This window comes from Homo sapiens, chromosome 10, assembly GCF_000001405.40.
Source record: "Homo sapiens chromosome 10, GRCh38.p14 Primary Assembly".
Classification (NCBI taxonomy): Eukaryota; Metazoa; Chordata; class Mammalia; order Primates; family Hominidae; genus Homo; species Homo sapiens.
The window spans coordinates 113,349,047-113,372,092 of record NC_000010.11 but is presented as its reverse complement, the minus strand read 5'-3'; the positions used below and the strand labels follow the sequence as shown (position 1 = coordinate 113,372,092).

Here is a 23,046-nt window from a genome sequence, read left to right as displayed (position 1 = left end):
TCATTCTGCCATTCAGTCAGGATTCAGAGGCGAGGGCCCAGCTAGCCAAACTTAGGTCCACCATTGCTTGGCTCTACTGGGCAGTAAGATAAAATGCCTGCAGAGGGTTCTTCAGAAGGAGTGAGAATTCCTGGAAGAAAATGCTATTAGGACAGAGGAAGGGATGCAAGGTGGGGGGCGGGGGGATGTATGCACACACACACACATGTGCATACATGCATGCCCGCACACACACTACACCTATACATTCAGGTAACCTACTGTGTAATGAGGGAATCGGAGGTTATAAGACAATATAAGACATGCTATAGTAGGGGCATATCCATGCAAAGAACTCCAGAAACCCAAAGAAAGGAGTTACTGGGGACAAAGGGAGGTCAGAAAGGTTTTGCAGAGATCCAATTAGACAATGAGCAACGATTATATGCTAAGCATTGTGCCCACCATGACATTTAACCAGAGTCTGGCAAGATAAGACCATGTTTTTAGGTATAACCTAAGACTGAAAGGGGGCATTACAGGGAGAATAAACAACATGTGTGAAATCATGGAAACGTGCAACTGCAAAGGCAGAGAGCATAGAAGACAGGGAGACATTGTGAAGAAGAAAGAATAGGGAAACAGGAGTGATCTCAGGTCATGAAATCACAACAGGTTTTCCATGCCAAATTCAGGAGGCCAGATTTATCTCAAACACAGTGGTCAGACATGAAGGATATTGCATGTGTCATGGGATTGAGGTCTAGAGCAATCTCTGTGGTGGATTGCAATGGATGGATCTTGAGTACATTATGGGAGACGCAGTACAGCTGTCACCAGAAAGTCAATTAGATGCCTAGGACACCACTCCAAGAACGATATGATGAGGGCTGATCGAGTTCATGCCTTAGGGAGGGATAACAATTATGAGCAATATTTGCAGGGTAGAATTAGCAGGAGCTGGTCACCAGCTTTTGAGGGTGGAAAGAGAATAGATAGTGCTAATGTAGAGAGCTCATCGGGTGACCATATTCAACAGTAATTGCAAAGGTTTCCCTGGCCTCCCATTGTGGAAATGGGAAGGTCTAGTCTATTCTTTTAACCAGAAATGCAGTGGTCATCTAAGGAGCCTCAACCTGGTTCTCAGAGCTCACCAAGGAGGAAAGTGTGCTGGGAAGTGTCTCAGGGGGCGAGAGGAATGGAATAGGATACAGTCGTCCCCTACAGGGTTGACTGTGCAGGTGCTCATCCTCCCCGTGCTGTTCTTTCCAAACCCTTGACTTTCCATTTGAGACCTTTCAAACACAGATACCAATCTGATGCATCAACTTTATCTCCTACTCCTTTCCAATACATAGATGGTACTCCGAACCAACTCCATACCTCTATTCAGGCCATTCCAACCACCCAGAAAGCCTTCCATCCTCCAGGTTCCAACACCACCTCCCTCTTCCATGAAGCCAGCCAGAGGATTAGGAAGTAGGAAGCCTGAAGCGGGAAGCAGGAAACACAGTAGATAACACAGGCTGGTGCAGTCGAGATTCAAGGCACCAGGAGAGAGAAACTGATCACCCTTCTGCCTGGCCTGCTTGCATGAAAGAGTAGCCAGAGGAAGGAGCCCAACCCCTCAGGTTCCATGTGGAAAGTGGGTACCAGACCTTACACTCTTGCCAAAATTTCACATCATGGCAGATGGAGGAAGAAGATAATTTCCCATTAAAAAAATAATAATAATTCAAGGTCCTGCATGTAACCAGAAATTAAATGTCTCCTGCAGTGAGGAATGAGCTAGAGGTTGGGTCTGCCTAGAGGATTCTGGGGTCCGGTGGACACTCCTTGGCCATGTTCTGTTGTAAAGCAGTACATGGTGGCTGCCTCTCAGGAGGCTCTAAGGCGCCCTTCTGGGCTGGAGTGAATTCAGAGAGGGAAGCTTTTCTCATACGTTCCAGCCTTGTTGGAGGGCAATAGACTAGAACGGCTGATACTGATTGGGATCTTTCCTTGGGAGATCACACAGATGGCTTTTTCTTTCCTGGTATAGGATATTCAGAGTAAGAAGGAAGTAGAATTGAATATAGAAGTGAAGGTCAGAGAGTTCAGAACCCTGTCTTGTCCTTCCCCATCTAGTTCTGCCACTTAAGGGCAAGTCCCTTGGTTTCCACCTGCGTGAAATAGGCATGCAAGATTGCTTACCTGGTTTACCATCTGGTGAGAATGAAAATAAATCACAACTGTAAATGTGGTTGAAAAATATTATACCCATAGATATCTCTATCACTAGTAGAGGGACCCCATCAGCAATTATCCAAATTGGTACATGATTATAACTGACTCCTCCCCGCAATTCTCTTGCAAAACATAAATAAATATAGATATATCATGGAGACTTTTGAACAAACATTGCTCTTGGGTTTCAGCTGAAAAGTATCCAGCCCACCACATGCCCCCTGGGGGCATAATCTGTTGAGTAGTAGGGCTGAGAGTTTTATCACTCTTCCTGTAGCAACCTAGATTTCCTTGGGCCTCTCCCAAGTCAAGTAAAACAGTGAGAGTAAAATGCTGGCTCAGCATTTCAGTTTCTGCGAGAACATGTGCCAACATGATATGGATCGGGGACTCAGGGGAGTTTTCAAGCCAATAATGCAAATGAAAATAAAATAAGTTTGGGCAAGCAGCCTGCGATGTTAATATTACGTTCAGTGTTATAAGCTACCTTTCCCTGAAAATTATTACCTAGAGGTACTCGTTGGAAAACCAGAAATTGCTCTCCTAACTTAGAGATTTTAATCTTTGAGCTTGAAATCTACCAGATGCCAAAGTTTTCAGTATGGCTTCGTCCAACGTTCATTTGAATGTTAATTGCAGTCCTCCTTGCTTTATCTCACTCTCCCTTCCATATATCCACTGTTCTGTTCTACTTTCCTGGCAGAGAGTTGAATTTCCTGGGTAGAAACAGTTGTTCTCTGTCAGTGGTTTCTAAACATATCGGAACTCTTTCCAAATTGTACAATCTCATCTCACTCCCAACTCCAGCCCACCTTTCTGGTTGCTGTAGCAGTTGTAAAGCAGGATCAGTGATGTGAAATGGGCAAATAATTAAGCCCTAACTACATTTCATTCAAAAGTAAACCTGGGAAGAAAGTTCTCGTGGCTTAAAAGGCAAATGTTAATTTTGCATTGTAAAGAGGAGGGAGTGCAGCCCTCCAGGCCTGCCCATCCCGAGGGGCGTGCTCTGGGGACTGGGAGGACATGGGCCAGGCAGGCCTGATATGTGTGATTGGAGATGGAGCAGAGGGAGGAACAGCACCTCTGGGGAAGGTCAGATGAAAATCCTAGGGGACTACTCTACTCTGCATGTCAGGTAGGGTCCAGATACTCAGCATGGCCCAATGGAGAAGAGGGCAGGAAAAACTCCAGCAGAGATGGAGGAGAGGAGCCATTTCTGCCCTGTCCAGTGAGGGTGGATGACTTTTACAAGGACTCCCTGGGAAGGAGGTGAGAGTGGATGACTCTCTTCCCAATAATGAAAATGAATTTCTTTTTCTTGGTTTTGCATGAGAGCCAAGGACGGTTTCAGAAAGAACCACAGTCAGAGGGAGAAACTTCCTGTGCTCTTCAGTAGATGGAGGAAAGACCAAGTTGAGTCAACTCTACCTAGATAGTCACATAAGCGTAGCCTCAGGGGAACATGGGAGCTACACACAATTCATAGTCTGCAGGTGTGGCATGCCAACATCCCACTGGGGAAACAAGATCTTGGCAAGCCCATCAAAAGCCCATGAAACCAGCCACAGGCATTGTGGCCTATCCAACAGTGTTCTGGTGCAGTACTTGGGGCACCTACCTTTTTGGAATTACGGCACCTGGGTTCAAACCCCCTCCCCTTCCCTCATCCTTAACTTCACAATGGAGCTGATAATAGCACCTACCTCAAAGGGTTATTTGAAGAATGAGTAACACATATAAAACGTGTAGGACAGCATCTGGCACCAAGTAAGTGTTTAATAAACATCAGTTGCTACCATTTGCTCTGAGGCAATATAAAGAAAATAGAGGATGACTGGGTGCCCATCTTGGGATGAGATCCACCAGCACCACATCTCATGTCTCTTTCTTCCCACATACCTTTGTGTTAAGCTTTTTACTGGCTGTGTGAAAAAAGTCAAATCAACTTTGCCCAAGACTTAACTTATCCAGAAGGTTCGACTGGAAGATCTTGTGTGACAATAGCCCATGGACATATTAAATATAAATGAAAAGGAGATGTTTCTCCATTCGATACCCACCATTTAATGAGGTTTCATATGTGTCCACACTTCCCACCTCATTTTATCACACACACACGCACACACATACACATGCACACACAAGAAAGAAAGAAAAGGAAAGGAGACCTGGATTGGCTTGTGGTTTTTTTTGCAGGACTTCATAGACCTAAGTCACACTGGATGCAGTAGCAATTCCAAGTGGGCGAGGAAAAAAGAGCTGATCAGCCAAAGAACCCCTGAAAGAGAATCAAGGCTTCCACCTCCCGCTGCAGGAGCCACCTCAAAGGGCACCTTCTTGGGAAGCTTTCTCTGACTCTCCTTGAAGACATAGCTTCTCCCACCTTCCTACGCCCCTGGGTCTTGCCCACGCTTCCTGCGATAATGAAGATGATGAGGTTGTGTCATCACCTCTCCTGGGAAGACTGCGAACTCTTTTTCAAGAGCCCCCAACCCGGCACCTGGACAGCACATGGCATAGAAAAGGAGCTCAAGCTTGAATTGAATGAAGATAATGTTCCATGTTCCATGGGTGTCCAAAAAAAACAAAACACGACTAAGTTTCCAGCCTTTTTACAATGGACTGAATATTTATGTTCCCCATCTCCCACAAATTTATATATTGAAATACTAACCCACAATGTGATGGTGTTAGGAGGCAGGGCCTTGGGGAGGTGATTAGGTCATGAGGGTGGAGCCCTCATGAATGGGATTAGCACCCTTATAAAAGAGGCTGGAGCGAGGCCCTTTGCCCCTTCCACCACGTGAAGTCACAGCTAGGTGTCATCTCTGACCCAGAACACAGGTCCTCACCAGATACTGAATCTGCCAACACCTTTATCCTGGATTTTCTAGCCTCCAGAACTCTGACAAATAAATTTCTGTTGTTTAAAATCTACCCAGTTTGTGGTATTTTGTTATAGCAGCCTGAACGGGCTAAAAAATTTCTTGATTCCTTTCATTAGCAATCCTAAAGGAAGTGATAGTTGGGTCTTTCATGAGCAAAGAGTCTGTTACTAAGACGGTAAGAAGTTAGAGGAAAGTTACAAAGTAGACAAAGATGTCCACTTCTACTCAACACAGCTCTGGAGATCCTGGCTTATGCCAAAGACAAGAAAAAGAAGTGAGGTCCATGGAATGGAATAGAAGAGACAAATTGTAATTTCCAGATGTTATGATTTTATGATTGCCCACATTAAAAACTCCAAAAGAATCCACAAACAATTAGAACTAATAAGAGACTGTATCAGGATAGGATAGAAAATCAATCTCCTAAAATTAGTAGAAGGAGAAGCAAAAAGAGAAAGTAGACATATGAACAAAGAAACAAAATGTGTTTCTAGTTAAATACCTCATTGTCTTTGGGAGAAAGGGGAGGGATATGGAAATTTTTGATCAAGCAAAGCACAGGGCCCTTTGGCCACATTTCAGCTTGCAACAAGGAAGACTTTCCTAACCAGGGAGAACTCTATGGAGGCCTTCAAGCTGAGTTGGCACAGAGAGTATGGGACATATTATTAAATGTGAATTGAATTAGATGACCTTTCTGGTTCCCTCTAATCCTGAGACCCATTTAGGATAAAACACTCTGGCATATTCAAAAGGAAGAACATACACAATCATTGCTTTGTTTGGAGAATGTCATAGGCAACCTCTAAGATGGCGTCCAATGATCCCAGCCTCCTGGTATTCATGCCCTTTGTGTAAATCTCTCTTCTTGAGTGTGGACTGAATTTACTGACTTGTCCCTAACAAATAGAATAGAGCAGAAGTGACGAGATTTCACTCTTAAAATGCAGTTATAAAAAGACCGTGGCTTCCATCTTGGGTGCTTTTTGTCACTGCAAAGCTAGCCCTAAGAGAAGCCAGTTGCCAGGTTATCAGGTGCCCTATGGAGAGATCCACGTGGCTAAAACTGAGAGAGGCTTCTGTCTGATACCCAGCAAGAAATGGAGGCATTCAATCCAAGGGCCAGGAGAAACTGAATCCAGTCGACAACCCCATGAGTGAGCTTAGAAGCAGATCCTCCCCAGTCAGCCCTTCAGATGAGAGTGCAGCCCTGGCTGACACTTTGACTCCAACTTCATGAGAGGCCACAATCCCAGAGATGTCTAGCTAAGCTGCAGCCAGATTCCTGACCCATAGAAACTGTAAGATAATATATGTTTGCTGTTTTAAGCTACTGAGTTTTGAGATGATTTGCTATACAGGACCAGTAACTAATGCAGGGGTCTTTTCACCTGTGCTTCACACCGGGAACCTGTGCTTCTGGTCAGTAGCCTACATTTTTTACAAGGAATTTTAAAATTTAAATCTCTTGGAGTCCCACTTCATGACAGTCATATTTCTTTGAATTCTGGGCCTCACCCTACTTTTGAATATTAATTGGAGAGAAGTAGGAGGAGGGTGCTACAGGGTCTGCCTTAACCTTCAGGGATGTGTACTTACGTTGACTTGATGATCCTCATTCAGAAAACTAACAATCTACTAACATGTTCCCACTGCATCTTCTCTGGCCACAGAGTGCAACTGTCAAAAGCATCAATCAGCGCACTACCTGAAATTAACCATGATTCTGGGATGGAATTAACAAGCAGGTCATGTCCATGATTTGGCCATGGTTTTGGTGTTTACCATTCTTCCAGTCAGTGGTACTGTGTTTCCACTGACAACTTGATGCTCATTCAAGCATTTGGCCATATCAATATTGCAGTTCCCCAATACCCTCTCAGGCTAGGCTTCATAATACTCTCTCCTTTACCTCTTCACATTACCTGCTACTTGTTCTTTGTCTTTCATCTTAGGAACCACTTCCTTTGTGATGTGCTTCTTGGCCACTTAAACCAAGTCATTGTTAGGTGCTCATCCTACATTCTCCAACAATTCCTTGTACTTCCCCAATCACAGCACTTCTCACATTATTATACCTACTTTGTTATAAACCTTTTTCCCCACCAGACTTAAGCTGCAAGACTAGCTATTTTGTCTCTTTTGGTTCTGTTGCATCCTTAAAGCCTAGCAAAGTCTCTAGCACTTAACAATTGAATAATAAATACATAATAAATAAATAAATAAATGCTTTGTACTCTTCAGGCCAAAAGTTTGCTTCCAGAACTTACCCAAGCACCCTACCACGAAAATCTCATAGAACAGCAACCTGGATTAAAACAATGTGGACAATAAAAGGAAATCAGAATGCAAAAGGGCAGACATACTCAAAGGACAGTGGAAGAACAAGACAGCCATCCAGATAACACAAGCCGTCAGACACACTTTGTCTGCAGTTCACTGGTGAATTCAGGTGGGGGTGTGCTGTTGGCCTAAATTATCTGGATAAGCCTTCATTTTGCTTTGGTCCATAAACTCTTTTATCTCCTCTACAGTTGGGAAGTTGGCAAAGCTTGCTTCTCCCACCAGAGAATGCAGATGAGCTCCCAGGCACTGGCCTTCCTCCTATTCAGTTTCATCCCTTTTAGTTCCATTTCATTTCCTTTAGTTCCAGTTGGTTCCCTGGGTTAAGGATTCCAGAACTGTTTCAGAGCTACTTTCTATTTCAACTGATCTTACGATCGAACCTCAGTGAGCTTTAGCACATGGTATTCACTTTGCACATTATTCCAGCTTTGAGAATGTCGATGCTAAACTTTTTAAATATGATGGAAGGAACAACTTTAAAATAGTTTCAGAAAAAAATTATTGATGTCTTAAATCTCCTTGTCTTTTGCAACTTATTTTAAGCCACATGACTGTACAAAATAGCTACTAGAAGGCTTGCCATCCCCTAGGCTGTCTCTACAGAAAAAAAAAAATCACTTTGAACAAAAATGAGTTTAAAATCCTATTTAAATGACTGGTTGATCCAATCAACAAGGGGGATAACAGGGTGGATGCCACCTGATGAATTTACTTTTGCTGTATAGCAAACCACCCCACAACTTTGTGGCTTAAAACAATTACTTTTAAATTTAGCTCTCAATGCTGTGTGTTGGCTGGGTGGTCTTTGCTCTAAGCTGGTTAAGCTAATCTCTGTTGCTGGTCCCTCTCATGCCACAGTAGTCAGTTGATAGGTGGGCCAGTGGCTGGGTGATCTGGAATGGCCTCTCTACATAACTGGTAGGTGACAGGGTATCAGCAGGGGACTTGGCTATCATCCTCCAGTAGGCTAGTTGAGGCTCATCTGCATACAACTCAGTGTTCCAAGCCCAGCAAGAGAGAGAAAGTTCAAATGGACAAGCAATTTTCAAATCTCTGCTTGCTTTGCATTTGCTAATGCCGCAAATCACATAGTTAACCAAGATTCGAGAGATGGGGACATCGACTCTACCTCTTAATGAGGTATCTGCAACATCAAAGGAAAGTAAGTAGATGGGGAGAACAGAAGTATTAGTGCCATTTTTGTTCTCTATTATAATTTATATAGTTTATATAATTTTCTGTTATAATATAATTTCCATACAATTTGCCTTGTTCATTTCCCATGGATACTCTTTGAAAGAGCACTTATTTCCATTTTATGGACGACAACACTGAGGCACAAAGAAGTGAAGTAGAATGTCCATGGTTATACCACTAATAAATGACAGAGCTGGGATTTGGACTCAGTATCACATTGCTCTGAAACCTGCATTTCTACATTCCCTTTTGTGTATAACCCAAGTACTGGCTGGTTGCTAACAGGTTGCTAATCTGAATTCAAACATTTTTTTAAAAAAAATTCATGTATGTAGGCAGCAGCCTCAGTCTTGTGTTTATCAAATATTTTCAAAATATTTTGCAGAGATTATTTTTATTACCAGTTCAAAAAAACCTCAAGCCCCAGATGTGGTTAGTCAGGCTCTCTTCTCCTGAACATTCAAGCCCTAAGGCAATTTATGGTAATGAAACCTCAACTTCTTCAACTCCTTAGTGACATTCCTTCTCACTTATAAACAGAAATAATCTTCTTTTTTGAAACCATGAAATTCTGCTGCAGGCTCCACCCTTGGAAGAGACAAGACTCAGAATCTCTGGGCTCATTCCCCACCCCAGCTCTCCTTTCAAAACCATGGGGAACTGGGACCAGAACCAGGGAAACTGCCTCTTTGCATAGATAAGAACTGGTCATGTGAGCCCATCAAGTTTCAGGCAGATTACTAACCACTCCAAAAATGAAACCAGAGCCACAGTGAGCAGTGCCTCAAAGCTGGTCTCTCCCCAGTCCCTGCGAAGGTGGGTTTTCTCCATGTCCTGTTTCTGCCTCTCCTCTCCTCCTGGTGCTCTCCCTTTCTTACTGGTCTCTTTGGCCCTCTCCTTCCATTTCCATTTCTTCTAATCCAAACTTTCTTTCCTCCCCATACCCCTCTTTGACTGAGGAATACCATTAGGAATACCACTTCTATTGAAATGAGTCCAAAAGATGCCTTTGGCTGTAATTTGAAGAGATGGAAGACCCAGGAGGTGAATTAAATGCACTCAATGAATCTGGTAATCCTGTTTATTTTGAGGGAATAGAAATACATTATTTCTTACTTACATATATTCTACTTCTACTCTGAAGTCTCCCATTGACTAGGAATGAATTTATCTTCATTTGACAGTTTTATGACCCAAATCAGATAGCTCTGTCCATTGATCTGATTTAAAATGCAACCAAAGGACTGGGTTGCTTTAACAGAAATCTAAGCATGGCCAACAATGCCTGCCATCACCCAGATTTTTCATAATATGTGAGTTTCTCAGTGTGGCTATCAGGACCTCCTGGCGAAGCTTACCTCTTGAATGGCCATTATTTAGCAATAGAAATGATTCAGCAATGAAAACAAGTGCTTGACTTTTTTTTTCTTTTTAAAAGATTTATTAAAGCTCCTCAGAGGTTGTTTTTATAAAACCCAGCCCTTAGAGTGGCTGACCTTAAAAATATGTTTATCTAAGCTATATTCCCCAAAACGTTGACCAACATGATAAATAATTTATTTAATGTTGCCTTAAATATTATTTTGTTTGGTTTAAACCCAAAGTAGAAACTTCTCCCCAAAAGGAACACTGTCTCATTTTTGTATACAATGGCAACATTTGGGAACAAATAAAAGAAATATAATCTTTTTCACAAACGTTGGCTTACTAAGTGAGCTGGTTAATCCAGGGGATGCAAAATAAATGTTGTGACATTTGGCTGTTAAATTAGAAGCTGGGAACTTTGGTTGATGGTTATACCCCTATTTTTAGTACTTCCTTCAACTGGTAGGAAAATAAATATCCATAAATAAACATAGCAAGTGGGGCACAAAGGGATTATCAATAGGAAAATGCCCTTCACCCAAACCACGGAGGAGCAGCTACATGGACTGTGTTCACACTTACAAATGTCTTTTCCCAGAGATGTTGGTAAATCTAGAGCTTAGCTACATTGGAACTGCCTTCAAGACAACTTGCTAAGTGTACCCCCCACTTCCTCGGCAGAGCTGTCCCTTCATCCACAGGGGGACTAATCACGGAAGTCCTGCCCCTGGGCCACGGAGGGGGCCCTGACAGCCAAGTCAATTAGATTTCACTTTGCGAGCCCTGACACAAACTAGGCAATTAGATTCTACTTTGTGAGTCCTGACATAGGCTAGCCAAACAGATTCCACTTTCTAGGACTCTGTGATTGGTCAAGAAGCACATCTGACTCAACCTCAGCCAATTATAATTCGGTGTATATATGTGAAATAGGAAGAGAAGGAAGCTACTATTTGGGTCATAGAACTAGAGGCAAATCAAAGGCTGCCCAGGAAAAAGCCTGGCTACAACAGAGGGCACTAGAGAAGCAGAACTGAGCAATGGTGATGAGTGATTTCTGACAACGCTGTATAAGCCCCTGAGTCCAGCCATGCCCGACCATTAATTCCCCCCTTTTGCTTAAGCTGGCTGGAATCAGTGTTGGCATGTCATCTCTAATAACCAAAAGAGTCTTGACTAATCCCGGGCACCCAGGATGAGGCACAAGTTGTCCTCAGGGGATATTTATTCATTTTATCCCTCTAGCTTTCTGATACTTAGATTTATACCTATCTTAAATCCCACCATCAGAGCTACATATATTTCTGTTCATCCCCTTTTTTGGTGAAACATTCTCTATAGGTACAGGAAGTCAGGACAACTAGACAGAGTCTCACAGCAGTGAGTGTGATGACCATATCCTAGACCAAGCCAGTTCCTTAGAAGCAGTCTTGCTGATATCAGAGCATATCTTTGGATTAAAATTAAATGTGGGTGTGTGCTCAATGACCCGATATAATTACAAAACTCGTCTGTGAAGGCTCGTTTTGGGTTCAGCTGGAGACACATGTGGCACCTTAAAACTCAGGTGCCTGCATTGTACAGAGTACCTTACTTATATTGTCTCATTAAAGCCTCCCCCAAATCTTGTGTGGCAGGTATCTTTACTATCCCATTTCACAGAAAAGGAAGAAACACTCAGAATGGTTCAGAAACTTATACAGTTAATTAGTTGTGGAGGCTGGAAGAAATTCTGGGTCTGTAATATTCTATCCTTCCCTAAACGCTGGCCACTATGCTAAGAAAGTAAAAAAGCAGAGGGGTGGCCATGGGGGCTATCAGTCTACCATGTGAGATTCAAGAAGAGCTATTAAGAACAGTCATCAGTAAGCAAAGAACATTGAATTTGGAATTAGACTGTTCTGAAATTGACATCCTAGTTCTGCCACTCGTTTCTTCTGTGCTCTTGGGCACTTTTCTTTATCCCTTGAAGTCTTAGTTTCTCCACTGTGAAGCAAGGTTAATTATAATATAGTAGAGAGTCCTATTGCTTCTTGGCCCTTTGACTAAGATCAAGTGTATAGTAGACAGTCTCCAGGTACAGCTGCCAATAATTCCCCATCTCTCTTCATGAACACCACTCCTTGCTTTAATTTTGGAGGAGTCTACTTATTACCCTCTCCTTAAATGTGGGCTGGCCTCAGGACTTGTTCAGGCCAATAGAATGGGGAGGAAGTGACATTCTCAGACTTCTGAGCCCAGGCCTTAAGCTTCTGCTTCTTCTCCCTTGGAGCCCAGGCTTTAAGGAAGTCCAGCCTAGACTAATGAATGATCAGATGCCCTGAGGATGAATGACCATTTGAACATCAAGGCTTGACCAAACTCTAAACTAAATGCAGCCTCATGAAAGACCCTAAGCAAGACCAGCAGAAGAACTGGCCCAGCTGAATCCCAGCCAAACCACAGAATTGTAAGAAATAATAAATACTGTTATTTTAAGCCTTAGTCTCTGGGATGATTTGTTATGCAACAATAGATAACCGACTTGCCTCAGGTTGCTGGGAAGATTTAACGGGTCAATGTATGTAAAAGCAAGAACACCTAAAACAAAGTTTGCCATTCCTGTATTCAACACATGTTTATTGAGCAAGTACTTTATGGACACCACTGCAGAGGCAATTGGGATTCTGAGGGGAGCAGGGCAAAGTCCCCACCCTCTTGAAGCTTACGTTGCAATAAGAGGAATAATAAATAATCAAAAAAAATAATATAATGTCAAGTACTGACTTCTGCTGACAACAGTCTCTGTGTAGCCACCCTGTATTATTTGTATGTGCTGCTAATTATGCTTGGTTTACATGCTCTTGGTTCAGGCCTTCAGAAATTCAATGAAAGTGAAGAAGAGTAGGGAGGTAAAGGCTGAGAGGGAGAAGACCTATTTTAGATGGTGTGGTCAAAATGGCCCTTTCTGCACGGGGTATTTGAATAGACACTTGAATGATATGAGAAAGTCAGCCATGCCTTCCCTGTACAGCCATGACTCCTATGCATGCACCTGTTCACATAACGTATTCTAATTATTTGTTTTTGTCTTATCTTCCCTCATTGACAGAGAGCTCTCATAGGCAGACAGAGGCATTTCGCATTCAGATCCTCTGTGGTTTGGGCAGTGGTTGATGCCCAGTAGGTGCTCAGGGAACACTGATTGACCGTATGAAGGCATGTCACAGGGCCATCCACTACTCAACACAAGGCTTAAAGTCACTGAGCCAGGAAGGCCCAAAATGTAGCTGCTACCCTCCGCAGGAGACCCTGCAGAACACGGGCCAGATTCTCCCTTTGCAGAAAGCTTCGTTGGCAGCCCAGCTGTCCCATGACTTCCATGCTCAGCCTGAGGAAGCTCTGCCTTACTTGGGTCCAGTTGCTGGGAACAGCCACCCACCTGTCCTATACCCTTAGGCAGAAACATCTATGGCCATCACCAGAAGGGAAGTGTATACCTGCACTTTCCTTGAGCTGCCCAGCCACTATGGTACAGGGAGCAAGATCTCTAAGGACAGGGGAAAACCCAGGGGACCTGAGTTCTGCCTCCTCCTGCACTCAGCAGTCAGACTGCACGTTCCAGGCAGGACGTGACAGGAGGGAAGCCTGGTGGAGCAGAGGCATTTGCTCAGCAAGAGAAACTCTGTCCTTCCCTGTCCTCCTGACTCCACCTCATCTGGCCCACTAGAAACAACACCTCAGTTGGCCTCATGAAAAATACCACGCCCGATTTCAACGAAGACACCTTGGTTGTGCACAGCCCCAGGCCCACAGGGTGTGCTTTCCCCTCTGCCCTTCCCACCAAACGCTCCTTTATTATCCAACAGACCAGATAGCAATAGGGCGACTTCATCCTCCTGAGCGGCTCCACATTCCACAAAGGGGCCATTGCTATTTGCCACTCTGGGAGAGAAAGCCCGTCACGGGCCTTCCCCTATGGAGCCCTCTCTCTTTCCCTGCCTCTCCTCCAGCTGCTCCTGGTTCAAGCCGCTGCCTGCCCCGGCTAATAATGCCTTGTCATGCAGTGACAGAATTACGGTCTCACACTGGTTTCACATGTCACAAATAATTGTGCTCATTGCGCATCATATTGAAGTTGTCAGGCCTCTCTTACGCCTATAATTTGTGTGAGTTGATCATACTTTGGTAAATCAGCAGGTCGCAACCTGTGCCCTTTAGCCCCCATGGCTGGCTGAGAATGACCTACAAATCTTGTGACAGGGACAACAGAGAGGGTATGAACTGCTCAATTGCTCGTGTCTATCAGCTGCCGTGGAGAAAGCCCGTTGCTCTCTGCTTTCGCCATCACTTTAAACGGCTAACGCGGCACCCTATGTCAGCCCATCTTAATTTCTTCACATATGTTTTTTTTTCCCCCTAGTTTTTTTTTAAGTACTTTTGGATATTTCTAATTTTTTTTCCTTTACCACAAGACATTTTGGTGCCAAACCCAAGTGTCTTTCTTCCATGTGTTTTAAATAAAAACCTCCAGTGACTGTGATAAAGGGAACAGACCTCACTCTCTCTGCCCAGCCCAACTGAACAGAGCTCCACACAATGGTTAAATCTGGCTGGCAGCTTTATGAGCTCCATTGCTAACACTTTATTGGGTAACACGTTCACAAATAGTGTTCCTGAGCCTTTGTTTTCATTAAGGTACAACATGTACCATCAAGTTGCATTTAATTCTCTGCTTCGTATTTTATACACAGTATCACTCACCGTGGCCTTCAGTATCTAATGCTGGAGAGAGGGTAATGAAGTTCAAGCTGCTTTTATTACCCTGGATCTTCAATAACTGGCTTCTTAAAAAGTCAGTGGAAAAGAAGCAAGAATACCAAGTTCTGTCCAGACTGATGCTCTGCAGAAATGCTGGAGTGATGTCAAGAATAAAATGGTTTTATGTGGGTCTATCTCCAGGGGAGCTGTTGCAAGTTAGGTGCCCAGAGAGTGGCTAGCCTCCTCCTTGGTTAAGAAACAGAACATGGTGTCAATGGCTCCACGATGTTCACTCTGGTGACTTCCCGTTCTTTGGCAAGCTACCTCACTCCTGCAAAGAAGTACAAGTGGGTGGGTTTGTAATTCTGAAAGCAGACAGCAACATCTGACTGCCCATGTTGGGATGTCAGGAACTAAGGATGATGCCACTTGTTGGAGCAACAGCAGGCATAAGGGCAGTGTGTGAAAGGAGAGAAAATGAGCAAGCCTCTCTCTCCACACCATACAAGGCATGCCCATTTAATTTCCAAAAGCATCAACTGAGGGCATGTGAATCAGGAATAATTAGCAGCACACACAAGCAATGCACAGTTGTTACAAAAGACACAAACTCATGTTGCTCGACTGTTTGGATCCCTTTCCCCCTTACATCATAGGCACAGACCCATGATGGTTCTCAGCACTGAAAGGCGTATCACTTTCGATGCAATTTACAACAGCCAATCACCAAGTTAAGGCGGGAGTGGGGGAAGAAAATGTGTCTGGGTCGCAACTATAACCCTCCAAAGGCCCTAGCTATGAGGCAAGTTCAATGCAGATGTGGGTGGTTATGGACTGGAGGTTTACTTTTCAAGAGTATCTTTTTGCTGAGAAAACCCAATGGAAATGTAGACAGATGGGGGTTCAGATCACAGTACCACCTCTAACAGGTTTGGTGACCTAGGCACGTCACCTTAACTCTCCGTGTCTCAGTTCCTCAACCTGCAAAGTAGTTGGCTCACAGTAGGTGCTGAGAAGATCTTATTTTTTTTTTCTCAGTCTAGGTTTTTGTTTGCAAGCAAAGTAACAGTGACAGTTAAGCAGAAAAGGAATATATAGGGAAGATGTGGGCAGCTTACAGAGTCTGAAGAAATGCTGGAGAGCTGAGATGAAAAATGAGCTGGAACCAAGGGAGGTTAGAGGGCAAAGAACATAGCTGACACCAGACCTTGGGCACAATCCAGTTATGATGCTGCCCCTGGCACCACCTCCATTGGCACTTGAGTCCTACCACTGAACCCCAGACTCCAGTATCTTCTTCCTTCTCAATCTTTACATGGGACTGGGGAAGGAAGGAGTTCAGGCTTCAGGTTTTACTTACAACCCCTTTAATAATTTAATACAGTATGTATTATTTTTTGGTTCTTTTTCAACAAAGGTGTGGGGTGGGGGTGGAGAATCTGCATCAAAGCAACCTGATCAGCTTATCCAAAGCCATGCTGTCAATCAGTGACACTGTTTGGAATGAACACACACACACATCTCCAGTTCCCCTTAAGTTGTGTCCATAACTAGCTCATGGAATGACTGTGGGAAAATTCAGGGGAAAGAGTAAAACTCTGGCTTCCCATAGGAGCAGTGAAGACATTGGCTACTAAGTGCAAAGTCATCTTTGACTCCCACCTCTGTTACTGGTGAGACAGGGCTCTAAAGAAGTGCCTTGGATGGCCTTGCAAGATGGGACTCAGTCAAATCCATGGATAGGAAGAGAATGAAAAACGAATTCGGAAAATTCAGTCACACACTCCATTATTGAGTGGTTATGTTCTAGGCACTAGGCTAAGTTCTTTTGTGTCATTATTTTATTTAACATTCACATTAAATCAATGAGCTATCTATTATTATCCCCATTTTACAAATGAGGAAATCAAGGCTCCTGAGTCGGAGGGCATGTGGAGTAACATGGACATAGTACAAAAGCTTTGCCTTCAAAGCGGGACGTGCCCACAGATGTCTCTGGGTGGCGGCGGCATAGAAAAAGGACACGGGAATCCCAGGGCACAATATCATGGGTACTTAAGAAATGCCTGGTGATCTCATAATCTCCAAAACCGGTATTGTTTAGGCTAAGGGATCAAGAGACAAAAAGCTAAGGAATATTTCATGATCTGGAAACTTTCAGTTCCTTTAATATGAAAATGCTCAACATGAAGTATTAAAGATGTAAGGATTCAGAGGTTGCAGGAGGCCAAAGAAGATTAAGAGATTCTTTCCCCCAAATGAAGTGCACAGTGTATCCATTACAGGGCATGGAGATTTTCCCTCCCCTCCCCCACCTCCTCCACTTAATAGAGAAAATGCTGAAAATTTTGAAGAAATGCATTCTTTGTTCCTTAAGTTCCATGATTAATTAGGTATAAGCCATGTTTCAAAATGTTTCGTCATTTATTTTTAATTCTCCCCAGAGTGTGTACAGTAACTTGGCTCAGAACACATAGATTACATTGCAAATGCTACTCATATGCTGAAACTTTCTATGTGTCTTTCCCTTCCCTTCTCTGCTTTCCCCTATAGTACTTGAGTGGAAGAACAAGGCTGGATTTCCATCGGAGAGCACACCCTGCTTTGAGTGGATTTCTCCAGCCTATGGGGAACCGTCAGAAGGGGGACTGGAAACAGTCAGCAGGCAGCTGTGCGCCCACACAGGCATGGAGCCTCCCAGGTTGCTCTAACCCCCGTATCTCTGCATCAGTCAAGCAAAGGTGTGCATTTGGTTTAAGTCAGTCTTCATCTCTCCATCTCCCTTCACACACCCCTCCCCAGGAGTAATCCCCAGGCATAAGCTAGGGAGCGATACAGCGTAGCGGTAAACACGTAGGATCGAACCATGGAGCTCTGACTCCATTTTTAGAGCTTTATCTTTTTCTCATCTGTTAAATGGGGATAAGAATAGCCTCCAAGATCCACTGGGTCATCGTAGGAGCAAATGTGATTTAACAGAGTGCTTCATTCAGAATATGCTTTCTATGGGTGTTCACATTATTTTTGTTATTTTCAATTTGGCCCAACTCCCAACCCCCAACACACACACACACTTGGGGGCCAAGTGACTTAGGATAGTGCTTGGAGCAGTGAGTTTGAGTCTGTGGAAGAGAAATTGGATCGGTCAGACAAGTTCCCAAGTTGAAGTAATCTGTGTTATGCACACACACACACACACAAAATACACAACACACACAACACACACGTACACATGCACACACACACAGTCTCAGGGTACAAGATTTGTTGCTGATTCCAAGGCAGTGGCTGCTCTTCTTGCCTTCCATCAGACCCCCTGACTTGCTGCAGAGGTAGCCCCTCCCTTTGCAATACCTTTACTTCCATATCTTTGCTTCCCTTCACTCATCAAAAAAACACTCCTCCTCCAAAGCTCAGATCAAATGCCACCACCAGCTTGCAGTCCTCACTTTGCCACTCTTTAAGGTGGACTGCATATGGTCAAGGGTGAGGCCTCATCTCCTAGGCTTCAACTGCCTGGGCCTTGAAAGTGCAGTGAATTGAATCACCAGGTGTATCAGTTTCCTGGGGCTGCCATAACAAAGTACACAAACCGGGTGGTTTAAACACCGAAACTTACAGTCTCACTGTTCTGGAGTTTAAAAGTCCGAAGTCAAGGTGTCGGCAGGGTGGTTCCTTCTGAGGGCTGTGAGGGAGAATCTGTTCCATGCCTCCCTCTTAGCTTCTGGTGGTTTGGTGGCAATCTTTGGGGTTTCTTCATTTGCAGAAGCATCACCCCAATCTCTGCCTTCAGCTTCATACAGCATTTTCCCAGTATGCGTGTCTGTCTCTGTGTCAAAATGTGCCCCTTTTTGAGGGGTATCAGGATTAAGTTCTGGTAAAAACCAGAAAACCTGCTAGACAAATTCAAAACGAACTGTAACACAGATAATTTGTCCTTATTATAAGAACACAATTACTTTGGATTAGGGCCCACCCTAATGACCTCATCTTAGCTTGATCAACTGCGAGAACCCTATTTCCAAATAAGGCCACATTCACAGGTACTGGAGAAGAGGACTCTTTTTTTCTCAGGAGAGGCAGGGGACACTGTTCAATCCATGACCAGGGCTGAATGAGCAACAACTCTGAGTCAGAGTCCGTAGGTTTCTTCTGTTACTTTTTTTTTGAGAGCTGGGATCTTGCTCTGTTGCCCAGGCTGCAGTGCAGCAGTACGATCACAGCTCACTGTAGCCCGAAACTCCCAGGCTCAAGCAATTCTCCTGCCTCACCCTGCCAAGTAGCTGGGAATACAGGCTAATTTTTAAAAATTTTTTGTAGAGATGGAAGTCTGGCTATGTTGCCCCAGCTGGACTTGAACACCTGTCCTCAAGCAATCCTCCTGCCTCACTCTCCCAAAGCACTGGGATACAGGTGTGAGCCTCTGCTCCCAGCCTCTGTTTCTAATTCTAGCAGGGAAGAGCACTGAGAATACTGAGAGGGTAACATCCAAGCCTGCCCTTATCATCAAACACAGATAGTTCTCATCTGGTGGTTCTTGAGCCCTGCTGCCACATTAGCCTCATCTGTAGATCCTAAAGACAAAATGAGACAAAACCAAACAACGACGCTGGGATGGGGAAGACAGGTCAGTGAGACTCAGCCGTCACTTTCTTTCAGGTGCAGCCAAGGAGGAGATCCACCGTACTAGACTAAACACGAACAATCCATGTGCTTTTCCCTGGTCTAGCCCGAGAGCCGTTTCTTGTTTGGGGGCTTACAGTGTTACTTGGGATGTTTAAACAACTCTTAAAAAATTAAACTGACCTCTTATGTAGAATTCTGTAAAGAATATGGAATGTTAAAAATCTCCAGATGGTTGAGATTAAGGAAAAAACATACGCTTTCCTAAAATATGCAGCCATTCGTCTTCTTTCGGTAGCACCAACTCTTGCCCAAATGGAGAGGTAGAGGCAGGGGTTTCAGTCTCATAGTTGTAAATGCTTTGAGATCCAAGATGGAAAGATTTTATAGGCCGTGAAGACACCACTGCTGCCTATCCTCATGGTGGCCAGCATGATAGTCCAGGCTTATACTCAATGTGTCTTGCTGGTTTAGCGTGGACATGGTATTGCTGGTGCCTTGTGTTTCCGTTGGAGAGATGAGCTGGCATATGAAGAATATGCAGACAGCTGGAGAGGAATGAGCAATCCACAGGCCCAGGTTTTTTCGTAGAAAAGAGAGCAGGCACACTGGTAATCATAACAATAGGGAATAGTTCCATGAGTATATCAGGCATCTGATAGTTAACGGTAACGATGTCCTTATTACTTCTAATTTTTTTTTTTTTTTTTTTTTTTTAGGCGGAGTCTTGCTCTGTCGCCCAGGCTGGAGTGCAAGTGGCGCGATCTCAGCTCACTGCAAGCTCCGCCTCCCAGGTTCACGCCATTCTCCTGCCTCAGCCTCTACAGGCGCCCTCTACCACACCCTGCTAATTTTTTTGTATTTTTAGTAGAGACGAGGTTTCACCGTGTTAGCCAGGATGGTCTCGATCTCCTGACCTCGTGATCCGCCCGTCTCGGCCTCCCAAAGTGCTGGGATTACACGCGTGAGCCACCGCACCCGGCTACTTCTAAATGTTTATGCCAATTTTCTAACTGCCAAAATCTAATTTTGAATATTTGGCTACTTGAGTGACTACATTCTTCTCCGTGTTTTGGAAATATGAATACAAAGCAGATACTTTGGAAATTAAACACATTTGTATGGGGAATATTTTATTAAAGAGACTAGAAGGACAAAAGTCACTTACATTAGCAGTTCAGTCTTTGCTACCTGAGAACAAGTTCTAAGAAACAGCAAATAACAGGCATACAGGCCCTATAAAGGAACTGTGAAATTACTCATTCTGATAAAATTCAGTTTTCTTATTTCAGAGGGAATTGGGGGAGGAGGTGTAGAAGAAAATCAGATAGTCAATTAGGACTAACTACATGGCTAATCGCAAAGATTACAAATCCCAGGGAGGTAAATGATACCTACGGCCCCTCTATCTTCAGTAAACATTTAAAATAATAAAAATGATAATTTATCCATTGCCACAAGTTTGACCTCTTACCCTGGTCATATCAGAGTGGGTCCAGCAGAAAGGGGAGGAAGGTCTAAACTTTGCCTGGGTGATGTGAGGTTAGGGACTGAGGACCCTCTTCTGCCAAAAAGTTAATCTCCAGTATTTATTTGGGTGCAAACGAAAGTAGAATAATGGGGAAGGAGGTCCTTCATGTAAAAGAAACTCAAAAGCTTTACAGACTGAATTAGGTGTAATCCTTATGGGATCCCTAACAGCTCATAAATAACTTTTAATGAGATTTCCAGCGAGTAAAATAGCACGTGGGGGAAAAAGTATTCTTTTTTATTTTTGTTATTTTGTTTTCAATAAAGCACATGCTTCATATCGTTGTTTTCCAAACCCATAACCAAAAGAAGGGAAACCATTTCAATAAGAAGAGATTAGTACTGAAAATATTTAATTAACTGATAGGGACAGGAAACGCTTGAGTATGTCATTGAAAATACTTGACATTGACCACTAATCTATGGAAACTTATAGAGCTGAGTCTAAAGCATGTTCCAGAGTTAAGCAGAGAAATAAATCAAGGTTTGCAAATGTCATTTAAGTTTTCACCTGTCCCACGATTCAAAATTATTGGCTTCCCAATGAAAAGCATATGTTGTGTCCTATGCCTGGGGAGTAGTAATGAAGTGAGGCAGACACTCTCCAGCGCTCCCTCCCATGGTGCCCCTCTTTATTTCCCATCAAGTGAAAATAATTACTGTATCCTTAAGGGAGCGCTTCCCTGCGTCTGGTCTGCTGATAAGGGCTGCCATGCTGGCTCCTCCAGCCCTGCCCCTCTTCCTTGAGGGACAATGGTTTGATTTACGAGAAAATAGTTGGCAAATTGCGATGTCTATCTTGATGGATGACATCATTTGGACCATTTTGCTGATCATGTATGACTACCTTTTTTTGTTTAGCCTGGTTGCAATTGATCCGCAACTCCAACAGCTGAAGAAGGGGGAAAAAATAGCAATTGCCTTTTCTTGGAGAGGTCACCAAGCAGAAAGAGCTCTGGCCTTTTGTTACCTAGAAACTCACCAGTGATGTTCAAGCCCTTTACGAAGAGCTCTCATAGATATTATCTTAGACGATCCGAACAAAGGCTCTCAGAAGTAGGCAAGAGAGGTATAGTTCTTCTCATTGGGAAGATAAAATGAAGTTCAGAGAGACTGAGTGCATTACCCCAGGTCACACAGCCAGTCAAAATCAGGGGTTCGAATCTTGGTCTTTTGACTCCCAAGCAAATTCTTTCTCTTTTCATTGTTTCTTGATGGAACAAGAACGTACACTTAGTGACAAAATCAAACTCCTCCTATAATAGGCTATTCAGTCCCGCTCCTTCCCGAGTTTCTGGGAGCTTCCTAACTGATCTCCAAGCCCATGATATCTCCCTTCCCAGTTTTCCTCCTAGCCACCACAAGCATTATAACCCTACAACACAAATCCAATTATGTCACTATCCTGTTAACTTTCAGTGTCTTCTGATCCCCCAACACTTGCCTCTCAGGACTTTCCACCTTATCCTCTCTAACAGGAAGGTTGTGGAGGTGTGGGGTGGGACCTAAAGTGGTCTATTTTGAATCTATTTGAAATCTCATGCTTCATATCTAATTTTATTTATTTTTATTTTTATTTTTATTTTTTGAGACGGAGTCTTGCTCTGTCACCCAGGCTGGAGTGCAGTGGAGCGATCTTGGCTCACTACAAGCTCCGCCTCCCAGGTTCACACCATTTTCCTGCCTCAGCCTCCTGAGTAGCTGGGACTACAGGCACCTGCTACCACGCCTGGCTAATTTTTCATATTTTTAGTGGAGATGGGATTTCACCGTGTTAGCCAGGATGGTCTCGATCTCCTGACCTCGTGATCTGCCCACCTCGGCCTCCCTTTATAGCTAATTTTAATAGGGACTTTGCATTATATTCAATATATTCTTGTTTACTTTCACTTAAAAACAACTATTTCAATCTAATCTTTAATTAAAATGAATGCTCAGGGAAAGCAGCCTCATCTTTATTTTATGGCATTGGGCTCTCCTTAGTATACCTCCTAGTTTTGAGTACTCCCAGTACACATCCTGGCTCCCAAGGGATCAGGTCTAGGGCCTTAGCATTGACCATAAGTTCCTTGTTCAGCCACCTTACCTTCCTCCTACCCTCATTTCTACCACTCATACCCTGACCTCTTACACTACAGCCACGCTGATCTTT

General features: G+C 43.7%; 1 pseudogene, besides 2 other annotated features; it reads right to left on the bottom strand.

Annotated features, from left to right (window-relative positions):
- Window positions 12,939–13,703: an enhancer, noted in NCBI's record as "H3K27ac hESC enhancer chr10:115118149-115118913 (GRCh37/hg19 assembly coordinates)". NCBI's record gives its function as "activates a minimal SCP1, AML or CMV promoter by ChIP-STARR-seq in naive H9 embryonic stem cells {active_cell/tissue: H9 hESC(naive)}" and the evidence as "EXISTENCE:reporter gene assay evidence [ECO:0000049][PMID:30033119]".
- Window positions 18,453–19,652: an enhancer, noted in NCBI's record as "CDK7 strongly-dependent group 2 enhancer chr10:115112200-115113399 (GRCh37/hg19 assembly coordinates)". NCBI's record gives its function as "activates an origin of replication core promoter dependent on BRD2, BRD4, P300/CBP, MED14 and CDK7 cofactors, with strong dependence on CDK7, by STARR-seq in HCT116 cells {active_cell/tissue: HCT116}" and the evidence as "EXISTENCE:reporter gene assay evidence [ECO:0000049][PMID:35650434]".
- Window positions 18,609–18,668, bottom strand: RNU7-165P (RNA, U7 small nuclear 165 pseudogene; annotated as a pseudogene).